This window comes from Homo sapiens, chromosome 2 (genome assembly GCF_000001405.40).
Source record: "Homo sapiens chromosome 2, GRCh38.p14 Primary Assembly".
In the NCBI taxonomy this organism is placed as follows: Eukaryota; Metazoa; Chordata; class Mammalia; order Primates; family Hominidae; genus Homo; species Homo sapiens.
Window position 1 is genome coordinate 135615080 of NC_000002.12, and position 23599 is coordinate 135638678.

At 35.8% G+C, this 23599-nt stretch overlaps 1 protein-coding gene across 7 annotated transcripts in view; it reads left to right on the forward strand.

Annotated features, from left to right (window-relative positions):
* Positions 1 to 23599, forward strand: part of R3HDM1 (R3H domain containing 1) — a 193786-nt gene that overhangs the window by 83596 nt on the left and 86591 nt on the right. For 5 of the 7 annotated variants that reach the window (NM_001378107.1, NM_001354200.2, NM_015361.4 and 2 more), the window contains exons 4-12: positions 1073 to 1114; positions 1589 to 1678; positions 6415 to 6529; positions 7575 to 7653; positions 16639 to 16698; positions 16782 to 16922; positions 20811 to 20919; positions 21009 to 21104; positions 23539 to 23576. In NM_001378107.1, the coding sequence (NP_001365036.1) occupies positions 1073 to 1114; positions 1589 to 1678; positions 6415 to 6529; positions 7575 to 7653; positions 16639 to 16698; positions 16782 to 16922; positions 20811 to 20919; positions 21009 to 21104; positions 23539 to 23576 (770 nt within the window). The remainder of the gene's footprint in view (positions 1 to 1072; positions 1115 to 1588; positions 1679 to 6414; positions 6530 to 7574; positions 7654 to 16638; positions 16699 to 16781; positions 16923 to 20810; positions 20920 to 21008; positions 21105 to 23538; positions 23577 to 23599) is intronic. The other 2 variants (NM_001282799.2, NM_001282800.2) reach the window with 1 other exon arrangement.

Consider the following 23599-nt stretch of genomic DNA (forward strand, 5'->3'; position numbering starts at 1 on the left):
CTTTTGTTGTTCTGTAGTTTGTATAATCTAGGGTTAAAATCCCAAGAATACAGTGCTTTTTAATTTTGAAGAACTTTTGGCTCAAAATGGGAGCAGGACATACTGGTACTGTAGACTCTTGTTTCTGTTGACTCTACAAGGAAGGCCTTTTTGAAATAAAATGATGGGTTTTTTTTTTTAATGTAAAGCATACTAGTCTGGATATTAAGGATTTTGTATCTGTTTTATGTTTGTTACCAGACTGGCTCCCTCATGTTAAGAAGTAAAAATGATAGATACTTTTGCCGTGTACTATTTGGTGTTGGGTTTGGGGAGGAAAATTGGAAGAAAGGAGTGTTTAAAACCTATCTGGCTCTGGTTCACAGGTGCTTCAGCTGGTTTCCCAAACCAAAGCTTGTATCACAAACTTGAGTTAGTTTGCCTTACCGCATTCTCCAATCATGTGACTGATGGTCGGCCTGTCAGTCATGCTGGACATCCGTATTGGAAGTCTGCCCTTTTTTCTTCCTTTCTGCTTCATTGCCTCACCTCAGACCTGATGAATAGGTTTCTATCACTAATAAACTGGTGGTGTACTTTATACAGTGTTGAAACACCTCAGTAGATTTGTGGTTGGACTCTGACTTACTGTGCATTTGAAACATTAAGTTTGGAACTTTTCTGAGTTTATCCACCTTTAACTGCTGGTTTTTGTGTGTGTTCTTTTTCCTTAACCTTGGCTAAACTATAATATGTTGTAAAATAATGAAGTATATTTTATTTCACTACCAAGAAGTCACCATATAAGTTCCATTGTACTCAATTAACACAGAAATTGTGGCCATTTGCTGATTTAAAGAAAAATGCCTAAGAAAGAAAAATAATAAAAATGCCAACCTATCAGGATTTTAAAGAAACTTCTGCAAGTGTGCTTCTGGGAGGAATCAGTACTCCTTTACTGAAACCAACTTTGATTTCCTCACTTTTCATACTTTATGCACAGTTAGTTTTTCTGTGGTTTAGGACTATGAATTAAGAAGCAAATTTTCTGTTTCAGTATGAAATTTAATACAAATCTTTCTTGTATATTCAGCGGCCATTGCAGTCATTTGGACAGACAGGAAAAAGGTCTAAGGTATAGTAAATATTTTGGTGTGCTGGCATGCCAAGGGCCTTCCTTCATGCTTGATGAATCCTTGTTTTCATATAGCACTACATTCAGTTTAGTTCTTCCATATTTTATGGGGGGCAGAAAGCTTATTTTGTTTTATTTGGGATTTTTGTCTTGCCTAGTCGCTTTTGTGCATTGCTTTTTTTATCTTGATGGTTCTTTATCTGTAGAGAAAATCGCTTTCTCACCATTTTTGGGGATATGAAGTTGGAATTATTCCCATTCTTTCTATTGCTATAATTTTCAAAACTGCAAATGTTTGTGTTCCTTCTTAACAAAGGCCTTCAGTAGTGTTTAATGATATATTTAACTTGCACATTTCATCTACTGTTATACATGGCAGAAACTATAAAGAAACTTAGAAACTCTTTCTAGGGGGCTTTTGGATATGCCCTAGATTTCTGAAATGTAGTGTTAATTATAAATACTTCTCTTTAGTCAAGCTCAAAGTTAAAGCTAGTTCGGAGCCTTGCAGTGTGTGAAGAATCTCCACCACCCCCTGCACCAGAGATATCACAGGAGAACCAGGTAAAAAAGCAAAACAAATGTTATTTCAAGACATGGTGGAACTGGAGAATTTTTGTATATGATTTAAGTTGTGTTTGTTATATTTGTTTTATTTTGACTAAATGAAACTTATTCAATAATACTTGGCACCCAAGAGATATATGAAAAGTTAGAAAACCTCTTTGCTTCAATCTAAGGCTTAGAGCAATTATTACTCTTCTGGAAGAACTTAGGAATCATGTAATTAATTAGGAATGTGGCTTTAAGAAAGTTATAAATTAATTTTTATAAAGTTAAAAAATGTTGGTCGGGTGCAGTGGCTCACGCCTGTAATCCCAGCACTTTGGGAAGCCGAGGTGGGCACATCACGAGGTCAGGAGATCGAGACCATCCTGGCTAACACGGTGAAACCCCATCTCTACTAAAAAAAATACAAAAAAATTAGCCGGGCATGGTGGTGGGCGCCTGTAGTCCCAGCTACTCGGGAGGCTGAGGCAGGAAAATGGTGTGAACCCAGGAGGCGGAGCTTGCAGTGAGCCCAGATCGCACCACTGCACTCCAACCTGGGCGACAGAGCGAGACTCCATCTCAAAAAAAAATATATATATATATTAAGGTAGCATTTCCAGTGAATATAATTGTGGTGAAATTTGCCCTTTTAGTTTTACCTTTTAGAAATTTCTCAGATACTTAATGCTTGTTTGTAAAGAGACCAGCCAAGACTTCTTCTTGATAGGTTATTTAACGTAACCTGAATGCATGGTGAAACCAATTTTCATATTAGCTTGGCTCTTTAATAGTTATCTAGTATTTCTAATTTCTCACATATCTATTCTTGTAAAATTTAGAACAGTGAGGTTTAGGCAAACCATTTAGTTTGCATTCTTTTTAATGCTATGACTACTTTTCTGTTAATCTCAGCTATGGGTTGATCTCTGTCTCATGTTACATCTGTATATTTATGCATAAATATTTTTGGATCCTTTACCAATGTTTATCTTGTGATAACTTTGCCTAGTGGCTAGTTGTACTTAATAAGAGTTTGAGCAACTTAAAATGCTCCTTTATCCCAAAAAACAGTTTCCAAGGAATTTGGGCAATTTTGTGGTTATTTAAGAAGCCATGACTGATCCATGACATGTACATCTTTTTTATAAAGTAAATATCATTATACATTTGGTGATTCAAACTAAAATTGTTAAACTTTCCCTTGATTTACATGATACCCTCAAAAGCCTATTACAGATATTTAGGATAGTTGTCACATATTTAGAATATGCACTGTTTTTGAAAAGCACTACATTTTATTGCTTGAAAATGCAAGGAAAATGTTTTGAAATAGATTGTTGTCAATGAAATGTACTTAAAAATCTGTTTGCTTTGACATTTCTTTGCATCAGAAACATAGGGCTGAAAATTAATTTATGATTTTTTTTTTTTTTTTGAGACGGAGTTTCACTCTTGTTGACCGGGCTGGAGTGCAATGGTGTGATCTCAGCCCACTGCAACCTCCGCCTCCCAGGTTCAAGCCATTCTGCCTCAGCCTGCCGAGTAGCTGGAATTATAGGCACCCGCCACCACGCCTGGCTAATTTTTTGTATTTTTAGTAGGGACGAGGTTTCACCATGTTGGCCAGGCTGGTTGCGAACTCCTGACCTCAGGTGATCCACCTGCCTCTGCCTCCCAAAGTGCTAGGATTACAAGTGTGAGCCACCGCGCCCGGCTGATTTTTTTTTTTTTTTTTTTTTGATGTATCTACATAGGAGATAGCTGTATGCATTTATTTGATATAATAGATGCATTTTAGCAATGAAATAGACTTTCTAGCAAAAAGCAGAAATACAGTCAAAGTATTTACTAAATCCTTGCTTGGAGAATATTTTCAAATATTAACCTTTGGCTTTTGCATGATTGTAATAAAGCTGAAGAGCTATATAATACAGTCTGAAAAAAAACCAATAAAATTGTTTTTTGAAACAGCACTTTTAAAAAGTTCTTTTGGCCAGGGACAGTGGCTCGCGCCTGTAATCCCAGCACTTTTGGGAGGCCAAGGCAGGTGGATCATTTAAGGTCAGGAGTTCAAGACCAGCCTGGCCAACATGGTGAAAACCCATCTCTACTAAAAATACAAAAATTAGGCAGGTGTGGTGGCACACGCCTGTAATCCCAGCTACTTCGGAGGCTGGGGCAGGAGAATCGCTTGAACCCAGGAGGCAGAGGTTTCAGGGAGCCGAGATTGCGCTATTGCGCTCCAGCCTGGGTGACAAGAGCGAAACTCTTATCTCAAAAAAAAAAAAAAAAAAAGTTATTTTGTACAAGTCAGAGTAAAGAATACGCCTGTTTGGGATGGAGTAGTAGGCAGTGTAATGTTTTTGAAAATTCATTTCTTTGTTCTGTTGACCAAAAAACAGATGTTACACCATCTTAGCTTCATGACAGTCTAAAGAGATTGAGGAAAGAAGGGTCAGGCATTCATAAATCTGTTAATACAGAGGAAGCGTATACTTTTTGAAAAAACAAAAGCTGTACCATGACCCTTGTTTTTTGTAGTGCATTTTACCTGTTTGAAAAATCTTGAGGGAGAGCCTGTTATGGTACTAAATTTGGCTAGTGAAAATTTATATGAAGAAAAAATAACAGGAATATATGTTGTGTATTGATATATACATTATTGATCATAGATAATTTTTTGTGTTGACAGTTCAAAAAGATGAGTTATGGCATGTGGATAATGACTAAAGAAGTTATATCAAAAGTCAATTATTTCCCTTAATATATTCTTTCTCAGTTTCTCTTAGATACAATAAGCTTTTTCTTTTTGGATAATTGCCTATGAATACAATCCTCTGAATAAAAGATACTTCTTCTAGTAGGAAGTCTTTTTCCAAGCCTTGAGATAAATAAATTGCACCTGAGTGGAAATTGGAAAATAAATTATTTCTCATGAAAGGTACTAGTATCTAATCCTTGATGGTAGACACAGTTTCCAACTAATTTGCTTGATTCAGAATGTGATTTTTGAGGAATTAATCTGGAATAAAACTCATTATTCAAAAAGTTGAGAGGCAATTAAGAGAGAGATGTCACTTGTATCTGATGAGAGCTTGTGAGAGGGAAGTGACCTCAATAACAGATGTTATTGACAGAGTGAAGAGTAAAGGAATTGCAGTTTCCTATGGAGAGGTAGCTATTATTCCAGTTATTTATAGTCTGAAGATTTTGTGTATAAGAACTTCAGTGTTTAAAATATATCTTGTTTATTTGCTACTGAAAACTAGGCCAACTGAAGACAGGCCTCAGTACATTAAGCTTACAAGATTTTAAAAATATAGTTCATCTTGATAAAATAGTTTAGTATCTGTAATTAAAATATATGGCTTTTTGAGGAGAGCTTAGAAATGAAATCTGCTAGTTACTGGAAGTGCCTTTTAGTGAAGATCTAAGAGGAGGTAGTGTGAAATCTTTTCTCCCAGCCTGGATTTCACTGGGTTCCTCTTGAGTAACCAGAATAGTAGTTACAAGTCAAGAAAACTTCTAAATATTATACTTCTGAAAAATAGTTCTGGGATTCATTTCTAGATACCTGTTTTACAGTTATGAAAAGCGTAAAGAAAGTGGGTTGGAAAATGAATCACAATAAGAAAAATTACTTACTGGTTGATGAGTGTAAGGAAGTTGCCAGTGTCTTTGGTAAACAAGACAGAGAGTGCAAAAAGCAAGTGTTTGTCATCCTAGTAAAAACTGCCAGTGTGCATCATTTACCCTATATTATGAACACAAATTTTAACTGGTATGATGAATTAAGAAGAAGAAAAGAGATGAAAATAGCAGGTAGCAGTCCTATTGGGGTAAAAAGTCTACGTGTCTGATTGATGGTTTTCTTGACTATAGAACAACAGTATAATTTAGTCTAAAAATAGGCTACACTTTTATCTTTAGTAAAACTGGTGTAGAATTTATTATAGCTTTCTTTATAACTTTACCTAAGTAAACAGAGCTACATGATTTTTGCCTTTTCTGTGTGGATTAATTTCTAGTAATCCCTTTGGGTTCTGGAATTACATGTAATGGCATTGTTTTTAAAATAAAACATGAATTCTCCTTTCAGTCTTACAGAATGTGGTTACTTTACAATTAAACATTACGTATCTGTAAGGATACAATTTTGTTTGAAATCTTTCTAAAAAACTGTGGTGATTGAAGGATTGACAGTGATATATAAATCTCAAAAAGGAAATAAAGCTGTGTGCCGTTGATTTTGGAAATGTTTGTACTTAACATTTTTATATGGTAGGAGAATGAAGGAATGTGTGATTATAATGGATACTCAGAAACCTGATTTTTATTAATCATTGACTTGACACTTATACATTCGTATTGTCATGATTGATGATAATTATGCTCTTGCTTGGCATCTTCCTTGCAAAAATAAGTTAAGAAGACCTGAGTTCTCATCCTCCGGGGATTTTACAAGTTGATGCACTTAAACTATAATAGAAAACATTTATTTTCTCTATAATGTTGAGGATTTGTTTTAATTGATATATTCAACTCAGAACGTTAGTTTTACATTTTATATAAAGTATTTGATAAAAGTAGTAAAGTATTATTAAGTTGTTTTTTAGTTTGAAGAATCCAGTTGGGTAAAATAATCTTTTTCCTCTGTACAATTCTGTGTTACTCAAAAAATATAAATGTGTGGTATTAAATGAATTGTATTGTATTTTCATTGAATAATTGACTTTGCCTTCCAACAGGAGAAAATTCAGATCCAGTTAACACAATCATTTGAGAAAGAAGAGAAGCCCTCAAAAGATGAAGCAGAAAAAGAAAAGGCCAGTGATAAGTTGCCCAGAAAAATGTTATCAAGAGGTTTGCAGTTCTTTTGTTTTTTTTTAAAAAAAAATTTTGCTATCAGTAATTCCATCCTTTTCCCCTTGAATAATTATATATAGTATATCTTTATGTAAAATGACACAGAACAGACTGGAAGGATGATACAGTACTTAACTCATCTGGGCAAAATGGTTTAACACAGTTCCATATATCAGTAAGACGTTTCAGCCAAAAATGCAACACATAACAGACGTTGAGGACATCTTAATCTCTTACTGGTCCCTCACTCATAGTAAAATACTAAAGTCATTATAATTTTTATATTGATTCATCTAAGGATACTATCACTCTTGAATTCCTTATGGTACAAAGAGCTGATGTCATAATATTGAGTATCCAGTAAGAATATTCTTGGAAACAGAGTGTTTATTTTTTATAAGTTTGGAGGGTCTTCACTATTACCTAGCATTGCAGATCAATAGAAATGCTTTTTAAATTTAAAAACCCAGTTATGTTGACCAGTATTATAAATAGTATAAAGATACTACATTTAAGGCGAAGATAGCATGAATATTTGAAAAGTATTTTGAAAGCAAGCCTGTAGTAATAGACCTGACAAAAATCAAATTCTTTCACAACTAAAATTTCTATCTACCTCCAAATTATTGCCTCCATTATATTCATATCTGAACTAAGCTGTCTTAATTTGCTACAAATGTAGTTAATTATGTAAATCATTTAAATTTTTCACCCACGGAGGCATTTTGAACATGAGGTTGTGGTGAGTATATAAAAGGATCTTTAAAGAATTTAGAGGAAATTAAACAGACACATGTGAGAGGTTAATTTTTTTTTAAGAATGTGCGTGGATATGCAGTTATATAAACTCATGTCATGCACATTATATGGGAATAGAAACATCGTGGTCACCTGATTTCATTGTAACTTTTCCTACTTTGTCGAATTTTTTTCAATGTGGGGCATCTTGTTTTATTTAAGATATATATACATCATGTGTAAAAGGGAATGGGACTTGTTTTCAAACAACTTTATACTGGGTTTTTGTGTTGTTGTTTTTTAGATTCCAGTCAAGAATACACTGATTCAACTGGCATAGATCTACATGAATTTTTAGTAAATACATTAAAAAACAATCCCAGGTAAAAATTAAATTTATAAGGTTTCCATTGCTTCTAGAGTACCATAATTTTGCTATATATGTTTTCATTATTGAGTTAGAGTAATAGAATAAGATTGCAGATATTTGAAGTACACCAGAAACATTTTAGTTTTTTAGGGCAAAGATGTTGTTGGTCTAGTATATGCAAATATATAAATATCTTTTTGCATTATGCATGTCACCATGATGTATGAATTTTGGGAAATATAGAATCACTAAGATATTTAGGCTCTTGATTGAGTTAGACATATACCATTAATCATGAGAAAAAAGAAAAATAGGTATCTCACCATAGTGCACTCAACCAAATAAGAACTTAGTGTATTCACTTATGAGTTTTTGAAGTTTTTAAATGCAAAGTTTTTGTTCCTTCTTGCTGAGTTTATAAATCATCAACCCAAAGATTTTTGAGGTGTTTATTTGAGTCAGTACTTTAATTGTGAAATCTTTCATTTTGTCAGATTACTAAATGAATAATTTTTAACTTTTTGGCAACTCATAAGCACTTTGAGACATTCTCCCTGCAAAAATGGCTACCCACAAATTATCTGACCAACACTTTCATGGAGTGAAAGATGCCAAGGTGAAGAAATCTTCCTCTAGATGTTAGCTTTCCAGAGTAGTAGCTTTCCAGAGTTGACATACGTTGAAATAAAAATGATGTCACTAGATATGGGCACACGGAAGATAAGAGAGTTGTTTATCTCTTACACAGTCTTGCTTCAAGATAACTTGTTTTTATTCAGGATGTATTGTATTCAGTACTATCTTGATTTTCTGTTTCGTATTTAATATCAACCCCAAAGAGAATTACCAAAATGAAGTGGTCTCTATAATAGGAGCTGAAGGATTATAGGTAAGGATTTAGAGAGAAGGTAGGCAACTCTCCTTGACTTTTTTTCCTCCAGTTCAAGTTTATTCCTCAGTAGTCCCAACAGAAAGATAAATTTATGAGTCTATTGAACAGCTCTAACTATGTGCCAAGCATTGTGCTAAACATTGTAGATATGAAAAGGTATTACATAGAAGCTCTGACCCTACAGTATTCACTGTCTCTGTACTAGAAAAAGACACCTGATAATTAAAATAAAACAAATGTAAAAGAGGTTTACAGGTGCTGTAATAGCCAGAGAAGGGCCACAACCTCTGAAAGGATTTTGGAATATGTCACTGAAAAGGTAGTGCCTAACCTGAATCTTGAATTAAGAGTGTTTTATATTGGAGCTGTCTATACAGAGAGACATGGGAAGGGCATTTGAGATAGAGACTAGAGGATTGCCAAGGCATAGTTATGTGAGAGGAAGTGTTATATTCAAGGAAAGATAGGCATGTGGCAAGTTATTCTAGAAAGTGATGGTAAAGGTCGGGCGCAGTGGCTCACGCTTGTAATCCCAGCACTTTGGGAGGCCGAGGCGGGTGGATCACGAGGTCAGGAGATCGAGACCATCCTGGCTAACACAGTGAAACCCTGTCTCTACTAAAAATATAAAAAATTAGCTGGGTGTGGTGGCGGGTGCCTGTAGTCCCAGCTGCGTGGGAGGCTGAGGCAGGGGAATGGTGTAAACCCGGGAGGCAGAGCTTGCAGTGAGTAGAGATGCGCCACTGCACTCCAGCCTGGGCGACAGGGCGAGACTCCGTCTCAAAAAAAAAAAAAAAAAAGGAAAGTGACAGTAAAGGTACTGGTGAGATATGAAGCATAGGCCATATCCAACTATCGTCAGCAAGGGATAATACCAACACCCTATGGCAGTGAGGAAATGTGAGGGGACCTTTTGATTGTCCCAGTGAGTGCAGAGTGCTGCTGGGAAGCCAGGGATGCCAAAAAGACCTATAAAACGGTGATGAACCACGAAAAATTGTCTTGAAATGCCAGTAGTGCATCAGTCGAGAAATACTGACTATGGCATGCCAAGTTAAGGAGTAATTAAACTGGATTTTAAATAGGGCCATACCATAATGAGATTTGTGTTTTGGAAAGATTACTTTGGTGTTTTAGAAAGATTATTTTGGCAGAGATAACTGTAAAGAAAAAGAGTGGCTAGGAGACCATAGAAAAGAATGGAGAGGAAAAGACACATTTGAAAGATATTTAGGAAGTATCATGGCAGGACTTGATGATCATTTTTATATGGAAAGGCAATGGGGACAGTAGAGTAGAACAGAAAGGCCAAGTACTAAAGATAGCAAAAACAGGGCCTGGTGGCATGTGCTTGTAGTCCCACCTACTCAGGAGGCTGAGGTGGGAAGATTACTGGAGTCCTGGAGGTTGAGGCTGCACTGAGCTATGATCTCGCCACTGCCCTCCAGCCTGGACTCCATCTCTAAAGAGAGAGAGAGAGCAGAGGAATCCTGAGAACATTTGTCCTGGAACTCAACCAAAAGGGAACAGTTACACTGAAAATAAAATAACAGAGGGGCCCTGCACAATGATTCATGCCGGTAATCCCAGTACTTTAGCAGGCTGAGGACAGTGGATCACCTGAGGTCAGGAGTTCGACACCAGCCTGACTAACATGGTGAAACCCCGTCTCTACTAAAAATACAAAAATTAGCTGGGCGGTTCATGCCTGTAATCCTAGCTACTTGGGAGGCTGAAGCAGGAGAACTGCTTGAATCTGGAAGGCAGAGGTTGCAGTGAGCCGAGATCACGCCATTGCACTCCAGCCTGGGCAATAAGAGCAAAACTCCATCTCAAAATAAATGAATGAATTAATTAAAATAAAATAACAGAGGGATATGAAAATATAAGTATTGTAAGATTGCGAAATATATATATTTGGTCTGCCTCCGTTTCCTAGCTTACAACTAAAATACCTGTAATCTCCAAAGAGCTATCTTTTTGTATGCTAATGTTGACTGATAGCTTCAAGATATCAGATTAGGCGGGTCACTGGAAGGACAAAGGCATGTTCAGAGGGTTGGGACTTCAGCCCCTGCTCCCAATCTCCTGGATGAGGAGATTGGTGAAGGTCAGTCTCCTCAACAATCATACCTACATAATGAAGACTTCATAAAAACCCAAAAGGACAGATTCAGAGGGCTTCCCGATAGCTGAACACATGGAGGTTCCTGGAGGATGTCAGGCCCCAGGAAAAGAATGCAAGCTCCATCCCTCTTCCCCCATACTTCGTTGTATGCATCTCTTCATCTGTATCCTTTATAATAAACCAACAAATATGAGTAAGTGTTTCCCTGAGTTCTGTGATCTGCTCCAGCAAACTAGTTGAATCCAAAGCAGGGGTCATGGGAACCCCAACTTGAAGCTGGTAGTCAGAAGTTCCAGAGGCCTAGACTTGGAACTGGTGTCTGAAGTGGGGCAGTCTTGGGGACTGAGCCCCAAACTGTGGGATCTGACACTATCTCCAGGTATAGAGTGTCAGAATTGAATTGGAGGACACCCAGCTGTTGTCCACTGTAGAACTGCTTGCTTGCGTGCGTGCGTGCGTGCGTGCGTGCGTGCTTGCTTGCTTGCTTGCTTGCTTGCTTGCTTGCTTGCTGGTGGAGAGAAATCTCCACATATTTTGGGTCACAGAAGTCTTCTCTGTTGATTGTTGTTGTGTTGGTGTGAGAACAGAGGGAAAACATGATTAAAGAGGTTTTCCAAAACAAGTACCAAAAATAATTTGTTAGATTCAGAAGTTAGAAATTGTTGGCTATTTTAACAAGTCATTTCATTTGGGATAGGGTGGTGGGAACCAGAACTCAGTGGGTTGAGTAATAAGTGGGAAGGTAGGAATTCATAACTAGTATGAGTAAAATAAGATTCTAGACAGGCAGAATTTTTCTTCTCTCTCTAAACCTGTGGGAAAGACATCAGCAAGGAACAAAGATTATAAATCCATTTTTATGTCTTCCAAATTATGTTTTGATTGTGTAGTTATTTTTCCTCTATAGATGCAAACGTTTTTAAGTTATCCACATAGACATTTTTTAACTGTACGGTTTAATGGTTTTTAGTATATTCAATATACAGATAGGAGCACTATCACCACAGTTATAGAACTTTTTCATTGCCCCAAAAGAAACCCCATACATTGTAGCTATTCCTATGCTAATAATAATAGTAATACTGATATTGGATGATCCCAACCCTAATCTGTTTTCTGTTTCTGTAGATTTCCCTGTTCTGGACATCTCATATGAATGAAATTATATAATGTATGGTCGTTCATGACTGGCTTTTATTCACTTAGCATAATGTTTTTAAGGTTCATCCATATTGTAGCATGTACCTTTTTTTATTCCTTCTGTGTATGCATTTTTATTTGAGCAAATATACAAGTGAATAATTCGTGTAATGGCTAATGTATAAGTTACTATTAGTGTCATTGTGGTTTTAGGAAGTTGAAGCTAATGTTAAATTTTGTGAGAAATAAGGTTTGCTTAATAATTGATTCAGTATTCTCTCTCAGTGAAGCATACAGCTAATTGCCAGCTATACCTGGTACACAATTAGTTAGAAGTATGGCAAATTCCCCCTGAAGCATTCAGGGTTGAATATTGCCTGGAGAATTCTACTAGATGTTAAGCAGATTTATTTTTAGTGATACTAAAATTTAGTCAGCCTTTCCTTTTTGGATATCTTTAATTTCAAGATTTTTGTTCACATCATTAAATCTTCATTATCTTGTCATAGCCCAATAAATAAACTAAATTTCAGGGGTTAAATAATAAGTTATCTGGAATTTCTGGGTGTCTGCAATATTTTCAGAGACTACCCTATTAAATACAGTCATTAATAAATTAGAACCTAGGAACCTGAAGGTGTTACTGATAAAGATTACACTCACTGACATAATTTTATATGTATTTTTGTGTTGCTTTTAGCCATATTGTATAAATTTTATATGGAGAAATATGGATGGTACAGATAACTTATATTATGTAATAGGAAAACAATACCATGGATTAACCTGAAGGTGGATTTTTTTAAGTAATTTGTTTTGCTCTAGGGAACGTCACGTATTTGTTCTCTGAAATATCTTCTAAAAGTCATTTTTATTGGAGGTAATATTTAAGTCATTTTATTTCTTATCTGTTGCAGACATTTAACCAAGAGCATATGAAACATTGGGTGGAGGGTGGTCAAACAGAAGCATTACTATTTTCTTCTTTTTTTATTTGCCACTGGTATAACATCGGTTCCCTCTTTCTCTAAAATTACTTCTGGAATAATGACTAGAACAATAGTAACTAAAAGATTGTTAGCCCTTCATTTTAGCTTTTAGTTTATTAGCTTGTTTTTATTACTTCTTTAATAATTAACAGCATGTATCAGTTCATTTTAAAGGTTACACGATAGAAGTTTTAGTTTGTGCCTACTTTTAGATGGTTTTGGCTCACCTGCTAAAAGATCAATATACCTTGAGAAAAGTAGTTTACCTGTTAGTTTGAGTCTCATATGTAGGGCCCCTATAAAGGATTAGTAACCTTTAACTTATGACCATTATAAAAATATCTAACCTCAATTACAGATTTGAAAATTTGAAAGCTTGGATAAGCTACAATGTGGAATAAAAGGCAGAAGGTATAAATCTTAAGACCTTAGGAAAGTTGTCATTCTTGTTTTTTTAACAAGTGCTACTAAAAGCAGGGTATCTTTTTTAAAATAAGTGACCCAGATAATCTAAAAATCCTCTGCAATCTATAGATGTACGTCTTAAGGGGAGAGAAAGCCTAAATTTCTATCAATTGCTAGTAAAATTGTTAGATTCTGTTATTTCATGCAGATAGTGGAAATTTCAGTGGCAGTGCATTTCACTGAAGAACAATTGAAATATTCTTATACCTGCTCTTTAGCTCAAACACAGAAAATCAATTTAAATGTACTGTTTTATGAACTCCAAATAAGTTGCCTCCTTTCTTGTTTGTTTGTTTGTTTGTTTGTTTTTGAGACGGAGTTTCACTCTTGTTGCCCAGGCTGGAGTGCAATGGCACAATCTCGGCTCACAGCAACCTCCGCCTCCCGGGTTCAAGCAATTCTCCTACCTCAGCCTCCAAGTAGCTGGGATTACAGGCATGCGCCACCACGCCCGGCTATTTTTGTATTTTTAGTAGAGATGGGGGTTTCTCCGTGTTGGTCAGGCTGCTCTTGAACTCCCTACCTCAGGTGACCTGCCCACCTCAACCTCCCAAAGTACTGGGATTACAGGCGTGAGCCACCGCGCCCAGCTAGTTGCCTGCTTTTGATTCTCGTCTTTATTTTTTTTACAGTAAGGCAATATGTAAATTATAAAAGTTACTGAAAATACTGTCTCACAATAACCCCAAAAGCTTGGATGAGGCTGGGCACAGTGGCTCACGCCTGTAATCCCAGCACTTTAGGAGGCCGAGGCGGGTGGATCACCTTAGGTCGGGAGTTCGAGACCAGCCTGGACAATGTGGTGAAACCCTGTGACTACTAAAAATACAAAAATTTGCCGGGTGTGGTGGCACACACCTGTAACCCCAGCTACCGGGAAGCTGAGGCAGGAGAATCGCTTGAACCCGGGAGGCAGAGGTTGCAGGGAGCCGAGATTGTGCCACTGCACTCCAGCCTGGGGGACAGAGCGAGACTGTCTCAAAAACAAACAAACAAACAAACAAAACTTGGGTGAAAGAGGGTCTTATAATTTAGTAAATAAATTCTTTGTTGGGAAAACTTTAGGAAGTAAAAATTCTTCACCCTCCCCTAAAATTTAAGAAAAACAAAAAGAATACTAAAAGACCTTCTGGATGAAGTAATTTTACTAATTTATTCCATGCAAAATATTTTTGTTGAACCTTTCTATATACAAATAGTTCAAATAACTATATATGACAATAATTGTGATAAATGCTATTAAAGAAAAATATGAAAGAAACAATTCTAAGAAAGAATATAAGAATATTTCAGCAAAGGGGAACAGCATGTTCAAAGTACCTGAGAAAGACAGGAGCTTGGCAAATACAGAAATAAACCAGGATGATAACAGTTTTGTGAGTTCAGGTCAGGAGATGAGGCTGGAGCTGGATGAAGACCAGCTCATGCCTGCCTTGTACATATGTTTAGTTCTAAGAACAGTAAGAAACCCATGACAGATTTAACAAAGGGAGTGATGTGTGATCACATATGTGTTCTTAAAAGATTGTTATGCATGTTTCATGTAGAATAGATTAGGGAAGATCAGGGAAGATACAGGGAGACAATATACTCCTGCTGTAGTAGTCAAGCCAGAAATCCTGTTGCCTGGATCCAGGGTTGTGGCAGTAGAAAAATAGATCAAAAGTAGATAAAATTTGCAGTAGTAATTAACTGTATTGGAGCATTTGAAAAAGGATGATTTAAAAAAAAAAAAAACCTTCGAGACCAGCCTGACCAACATGGAGAAACCCCGACTCTACTAAAAATAGAAAATTAGTCTGGCGTGGTGGTGCATGCCTGTAGTCCCAGCTAATCGGGAGGCTGAGGCAGGAGAATTGCTTGAACCTGAGAGGCGGAGGTAGTAGTGAGCCGAGATTGTGCCATTGCACTCCAGCCTGGGCAACAAGAGCGAAACTCCTTCTCAACCAAAAAAAAAAAAAAAAAAAAAAAAAAACAAAAAAAAAACGAGATTCTCATACTTCTACTATCATATACTGAGTAGAAGGTGGTGCCAGTTACTGAGATGGGATATACTAAGGAGAAGCAGGTTTGGAAACCAAACTGAATATTGCTATAAATTTTGTTAAAATGTAATTCTGTGTTCAGCTTTGGATTTGAAATCACCAAGTAGACATGTTTTTCTGTTGATTTTTTTTAAACAAATATAAAAATGTAAGTTAAATATTTAATGAATGATGGGGGAAATGTTATTACTTAGTTTTATGAAACTTTTGCAGTGTAGGAGGAGAATCAAATGCAGGTCTGATGTGTAGACTTTCAGGTGACCAAAGCAGGGGCTACCAGTTCTTCTATTGAAATTGAGAATAATCTGCATAGTGTTTATTTTAGGGAATCATTAACCTCTTGGCCTCGTTTTCTTGATCTGTAAACTTTGGAAGACAAAACTGAATGATTTGTAAAGCTGCTTTTAGCTTTAAGTTTCTGTAAGTTACATTTTTTTTTTCACATGTATATGAAATTTCCAATTAGCACAGGAAAATTCTAGAGCCATGTTATGGGTGTGTGAGCAGGGAGGTCCTTTGGGGAGTGATACCATTAATTTGTTGCAGCTAAGAGAACTAAATAAGACCCTAGTGATCTAAAGGAGCACATACAGGTACTCCCTAGAGTCCTTATTTATTTTATATGTTGGAGGTTTTTGGTTCACTTAGATTTTTATGGGAAAATTTAAAAATATATAATGGCAGTTTATAGAATGGGTTGAAATATCCTCTTCTTCTAAATTAGCGATATAATTAATACTTCTCTGCCATAGTCCCATCTACATACTAGTATTAGATTCCCATAGAAGTATTCCTGTTGTTACTGGCATTGCATGTTCTTTAGAATACTGTTTCTATGGAGTTCAGCATGATAACAAAGTCCTGAGCCTAACTAAAGATGTCTGTTCTTCTGCTTCCTCTCCACTTTATTGAATGAGGAAATAAAAACTAAAATGCTTTTATTATCCACACATTCACAGAGCAAACTCTAATATAGTAATACTAAGCAGATCAAAATACATTTAAGTTCCTTCGTTGTGTGTAAGCAAAAAAAAAAAAAATGCATTTAAGAATAGCCACATGTTGATTATTGTTAAAGTTGGGTGATGGGTACATCAAAATTCATTACACTATTCTCTACATTAGTGTATGTGTGAAAACTTCTGTAATAAAAAGTTAAACTACAAAAATCATCTTTTGTTTTAAAACATTAATAAATATTCTAGCATCAAGATTGGGGTAATACTGAATGTATAGTTTTTAGGGGGTGAAATTTAGCTGTATAAATCATAGGCTGTTGACATTTGTGATTACTTCATTGCTAAGTTTTACATATAAGAGTCTTCATACTTTGTTTCAGGGACAGAATGATGCTGCTGAAATTGGAACAAGAAATTTTAGATTTCATTGGTAATAATGAGTAAGTCCTGACATTCAACAAGAAAAGAAATTGTCATCACCATTCTCCTTGACTTACTAAGTTGGTTTTTCTTGTGCTTCTAGGTCTCCACGTAAAAAATTCCCCCCAATGACATCTTACCATAGGATGCTATTACACAGAGTAGCCGCTTACTTTGGATTAGACCACAATGTTGATCAGAGTGGGAAGTCTGTCATAGTAAACAAAACTAGCAATACAAGAATGTAAGTGTCAAGAGATGTAACTACATATTATATATCTAAATAATAATACTTTATCTTTCTATATTACCTTTCATCTGAGGTTTTCCACATGTTTTAACAGTCTAATTAAGTTTTATGATAACCTTATGTGATAGGACTGAAAAACACATTTAGTTTACTGGGAACAAAATGCAACAGCCTGGACTCAAATATGGCATATGAATGAGGACTGGGGCATATGGTAAAAAAATAAAAATCCAGAGGACATAGTATCAGTGATGTTTGACAACCACTCTTAGGGATTTTTAAAATTAATTTAGACAGCTGTAGCCAGCCTTAGTCAAATTTAAAAAAAAAAAAAAAAACACAAGAGAGAGAGCAGACTTTGTCCGTGACACCCTCACATTTAGTTAATCTTCTGTCAGTTTACCGTTCTTTCCAAAAGCCTCTGAATTTACTCCTTTTCTCTCACAATTCTTAAGAAAGTGGGACTGTTGGTTAATGCAATATCATTAGTGCTGTCTTCTTCCTGGGCTATGTATGATTCTCCGGAGGAGCTTTTTGTTTTAAGAATTGATTGCTTTATAGTGTTACGGAAGTAGATCATCATTGCTGTTACTTGGGAACAGAAGACCCAATGCAGAGGCACCCAAGTTATAAAACATACACAGCACATCCGTTACATCTTCTGCCTATTTTTAAGGCTAATCCTAAAACAACTAGCTGAGTTCAGCTGAAATTTATATTTTGATGGTGATTTGCCTATCGAAAGGAATTTCAGTTTGATATGAGGCAGCAACAAGTCTGTGGTAATGAGTAGCAGTCAACTTCAGATGGCATAAATAATCCTTTTTGGTCCATTATTTTTCTTTCTTTCCTGAAGCCAGATTTCTCCCAGGTTCTTATCTATGAATGATTTAATTTGCATGGTTATATTTAATTCATCTATGCCTTTTCTGATTTATGGTCTTTTGTCCTTATAGCTGCCATATCACTTGCTGGAACTATTGGTTTTCTCCCATTTTAAATAGTCTTTTTGTAAACTAAGTAAATACTTTAGTATTTTTAAATGATCGTTCCTATAATTAAAAGTAAATTAGTGAAAATAGATGTGTTTAGAAAGGGATCTTTTCTTCTTATAGGGATTAAATGTTACTAAAATGTGAGTCTGATTTAGTTTTCATTAAAATTTAAATTTTCATATCCCTTCGTCTTTAATATTCTTTTCAGTTAGTCTTTTTCCAGTCAGTTATATCATGACTAAAGTAGGATAGTAACCATTAAGCTATGAGCTGAGCTAGAGGTGAATAGAACTGTTAATTCATTTAACCAGTACCTCTCAACATTACTCAGAGCTGCTGGATACACAAGCACATATACATTAGCAGGCATTTTGACTAACATTTTGACTGGTGACTCTCTAAGGTTTTCAATACAGTGTAACCTCAGTTATTTGAATTATATGAATGATGTCAAAAAGCTTTAGAGCTGTCTTTATCAAGATAATCAAAAGCTAGGCTCAGCAGAGATGCTTATAATATACTTAAAGAAGTATGGGTCAATAATATAATTATAATCAGACAGTTCAAATCATTCAAGTTACACTGTACTTTTTATATATATATATCTTCTGGGATATGAAGAAGGTTGTAAATCAGAAAACCTTAGAGATCTGCTCCATATTGAATAAAAACAAACTTACCTTTTCCTCATAGGGAGATTACCCGCTCCAGCCTTGAATCAGTGGTGTTATGGATGTCAACAACCCAGTGTCCACTGGGGTGTCTCAATGGAGCGGGAAGTTGGCGATTACAGGGCAGTAAATTCAGGCATCTATAAAAGAATGAGGTAAGACAGTCTTAAGGTTAGCTGAAATGCCTGCCAGTGCTGTTGGTGTGGGAATCCAGCTGCTCTTAGAAAAGTTGCCAGGCCCTTGGTTAAACCTTATAGTTCACTTTGGAATAGCAGTCTCTCGTTCAAATATAAACTCCATGAATAAGAAAATGTGACTTTGAACAGTTACAAAGATAGATGACATAAGTCAATGGGGCAATCATGTGACAAAAATAACATACTGCCATGGTCAGAACTAAATAAAAATCTTTCAAACCCTTGAAGAAAATACTCTTTTTCTTATTATTTTGATCACAAAGCTGTTTTTCGTCTTCCTATTTTTCTTTTACTTCTTACATATATTTATGTACAAATCTGTTCTCTATTTCACCCATCTAAGTATTTTACAATAGAAATTTCATTAACTTGCTTAGATAATTCTCACTTTTAATCTCCTTTTGCATAATTTGACAGGAGGCTTTTACGTACTTTATTAGAAATTCATAGGTTAAAATAAATGTTCAAAAGTATTACTTCGGTTCTAGGGCCAGGCGCAATGTCTCACGCCTGTAATCCCAGCACTTTGGGAGACTGAGGCAGGTGGATCACTTGAGGTCGGGAGTGTGCAACCAGCCTGGCCAATATGATGAAACCCCATCTCTACTAAAAATACAAAAAAAATTAGCTGGGCATGGTGGCACCCTCCTGTAATTCCACCTACTCAGAAGGCTGAGACAGGAGAATCGCTTGAACACAGGTGGCAGAGGTTGCAGTGAGCCAAGATCGTGCCATGGCACTCCAGCCTGGGTGACAGAGTGAGACTCTGTCTCTAAAAAATTTTTTTAAAAAGAAGTGTTACTTAGGTTCTAGATATAAGGAAGTTTGCTGAAAATATCATTACTCAGATTTATTTGGATTAGAAATTTACTTAGGTTATTCACATATATCATTTGATATTTGAACTATAAAAACTACCTAGGAGTTCAATGAGATTTTCTCTAAAGCCATTTAATATATTGTTATATTTCATATTTCAAAAGAATAATTCCAGTTTTATAATAGAATGATAGTCACAGGAGTATTGATTCAATTAATTTGTTGAAGCTGAGAATGTATTTTGGGAGGTGAAATTTTATATAATTGTAATTTTCCAAGGGCCACAACCTTGTGTTTGTCCTCTAGATCACAGTGGAACTTGCAACATTTCTGTGGAAGAAAGATGAGTCCACTATAAAATGTATTGCTAAGATTTCATAATCGTTACTTTAGGTCACAACTTTGACTTCTATAAAAGAACATCTCTTTTCTAACCTGTTCCAGTTAATGTTAGCAAACCTGTGCCCTACTGTAATTTAAAATTAATGGATGCACTTTGAAGTAGTCTGTAAGTTTTTAGCTAATTGAATGACAAAATATTTTATTACTTTCAGGTATAACACCAAACTAGGTACCATAGGAGTAGCATAAGATACGGCACTGCACTTTCCTTGTCCCAGCATTTTTTCGTAGGTTTAGACGAGGCAGTACAGGCTTTGGGTCTAACTGACCTGAGCTCCAACTATGGCTTAATCATATGCCTGCCTTTGACCTTGCATATTTGCTTAAGCCATTTGAACCTCGGTTTGTTCAATAATATTTATATCAGTAACTAACTTCTGAGTGTTTACTGTTTTATGTGTTACTGACATTTTCATTTCATCTTCAGAACAACCCTAAGAAGTAGGTACACTATATAATTCCCATTTTACAAATAAAGAAACCGGGAAAGAGAAAGGTTAAGTAACTTGTGCAAGTCATAAAGCAGCTAAAGTGCTAAAGCTCAACCTTTGAATCCAAGCGGACTGACTCCAGAGCCAACATTGTATTTGATATGGCCTCTCAACCATAACATGGAATAGTTAGTATTTTCTCATGAGATTATTGTGAGGACTAAATGAGACTGCATAAGCATCTATGGATGGCACTAAAAAGTGGTAACTTATTTTATTTCTTTTCATAAAATGTTATGTTTAACTTCTTTGCTAATATTGTTCATTATCTTTTCCTGTTCCTTTGTTTTTGTTTTTGTTTTTTAAGACCTGATCAGAAATTTAATGAACATATTAAGGATGATAAAGGTGAAGACTTTCAGAAACGTTATATCCTCAAGAGAGATAACTCTAGCTTTGACAAAGATGATAACCAGGTAATCTAGAACAATTGTAGGATTTGTATAGGTGCAAGACATACTATACCAGTAGTTCATTTGCCTAAAAATTATCCTCTTTTCTGTAGATGAGAATACGTTTGAAAGATGACAGAAGAAGCAAATCTATAGAAGAAAGAGAAGAAGAGTACCAGAGAGCCAGAGACCGAATATTTTCCCAAGATGTACGTACTAACTTACTTAGGTCTTCATGTTAGAGTATATTCTAATTACGTTGTAGGGTCTCAGTCTCCCTTTTATCTATTGATCACATTTATTTTTAATCACATTTGTTGCACATAAGGTCATCTTTTAGAAATATTGAGATCAGTTTTGCTTGTGTTATTAATAGTTTATAAAATACTACATTGCAGTAGTTATATAAAATTTTACAAAAGTTGGAAGCAGGTAGACTACAGGAGTCATTAAAAGAATGTTCTCCAGTCTATATAGTTTGTGTGATTTTTTTTCCCCAGACTTGTGACAGACTTGAGATTTTTATTAATAGAAATTGCTCCACTGTCTACAAAATCATATACTCTAGATGCTACTTGTTAGTTGACTTTCTTTGACAAATAATTTATTTCTTCTTTTGAAATAAAGCTAATTGATTTTGTAGGTTAATATCTGTTTTCTTCTTCATAAGTGATTATATAAGATAGGCTTTCTAAATGGCTAATTATTTTATGCATATATGCCAGAAGAGAATCAATTTGTTTTTTGTCAACATCTACTAAGCATCTGTCCTGTAATATGTGTTAATCAGCTACAGATAGAAATTTCCTCTGTGTTAAAAAAAAAAAAAAAAGAAGATTAAATAACACTAAAATCCAGATTGTAAGTGAAGAACTTATTCATTCAACAAATTTTATTGAGCACCTGTAGTAAGTGCTATCCTAGGCACTGGAGAACATATTCATGGACAGTTAAAATAATTTATCCCCAAAACAACCCTATATGGTAGATACTATCATTGTTTTTATTTTACAGATAAGGAACCTGAGATTCCAGGAGGCTAAAATAGAGATCACACAGCTAGAAAATGGCAGAGTTGGGATTTCAACCCAGGTCTGCTGAACTCCAAGCCTATACTAAATGTCCTTCTCTCTAGTTTATAAGATAGATGAGGTATCTGCCCTTGATGAATAGCCAAGTAATGACAACAGGGTATGTGGTTTATATAGAGACATGAAGGTGTAATAGATGACACAGCAGATAAGCACCAAAACCAGAACTGGGGAAGGGATGGGAGAGTTAGCTTCCAAGAAGTAACCTTACAGGAGTGAAGAGTTCCAAGTCGAGAGTCAGTATGTACAGAGGCCCAGAGGTAAGGGAGAACTTGACACACTTTAGGAATTAAAAGATTTAAGAGGAGGCCAGGCACAGTGACTCACACCTGTAATCCCACCACTATGGGAGCACTGAGGTGGGTGGATCACTTGAGCTCAGGAGTTCAAGACCAGCCTGAGCAACATGGCAAAACCCCATCTCTACAAAAAATTAGCCAGGCATGATGGTGCACGTCTGTAGTCCCAGCTACTCAGGAGGCTGAGACAGGAGGATCTCCTGAACTCAGGAAGTACAGGTTGCAGTGACCCAAGATGGCACTACTGCACTCCAGCCTGGGTGACAGAGTGACTCTGTCTCAAAAGATTCAGAGTAGCCAGATTCTAGCCTGAGTGATATAGGAAGTGAGGAAAGTTTAGGTTGGAAAAATAATCAGAAATGAGATGACTTGGTCCTGAAGGTTTAAGATGATTGGACTTCTGGGGTTTTTGGTGGTGTTTTTTTGTTTCGTTTTTTACTTTTGGCTTTTTTCTTTTTTGGTCAGCAGACTTTTTCTGTAAAGGTCAGATAATAGCTGTTTTAGGCATTGTGAGCCACATAGTCTTCATTGCAGATACTCAAATCTGACTTTTTGCTACTCAAACGTGACAGCAGCCACAGACAATACATAAGTGAATGGTCATGGCTGTGTTCCAGTAAAACTTTGTTTGCAGAAACAGGTGTCTCGCTATAGTTTGCTGACACTGGTGCTAAAACATCAGGGAGCCATTCAAGTGGGAAGAGTTATGATCAAATTGACATCTTAGAGAGATTGCTCCTGTTATATAAAATGGGCAAAAAATGGTAACTGGAAAACTAGTTAGAAGACTGTTGTAATCATACAAACAAAAATGGTCATTCCTAACCCAGATTAACAGTGCTGAAGGACTTTAAGCACCATTAAGGCATAGCTACTTGTTCACTGCTCTAGCCACAGATAAAGCACAGGTGATCAAATATTTGTTAAGTGAATGAAGTGGAATATGTATCCTATATATACCTTGAATATATAATGAAAATGGGTTCACTTATTTGGAAGATAATATTTGAATTTCAAATTAATTTGAGCCACAAAATGAATAGTTTCAAGATATGTATATTATATATTTGTTAAAAGTAAGCATAGGATCTCCAAACCAGAAAAAAAATTCCATTATTATTTATTTGTGTACCCTTATCACCATTTTTAACTTACATTATTACACATGATTTTTGTTGTCATCATTGGTTTACAGATGGCATTACGTTATATTTGACAAAAGCTCAACTTTTTGTATCTATTCTTTTTTCTAGTCCCTGTGTTCCCAAGAGAATTACATTATTGACAAAAGGTGAGGGAATTTTTAACATCTGT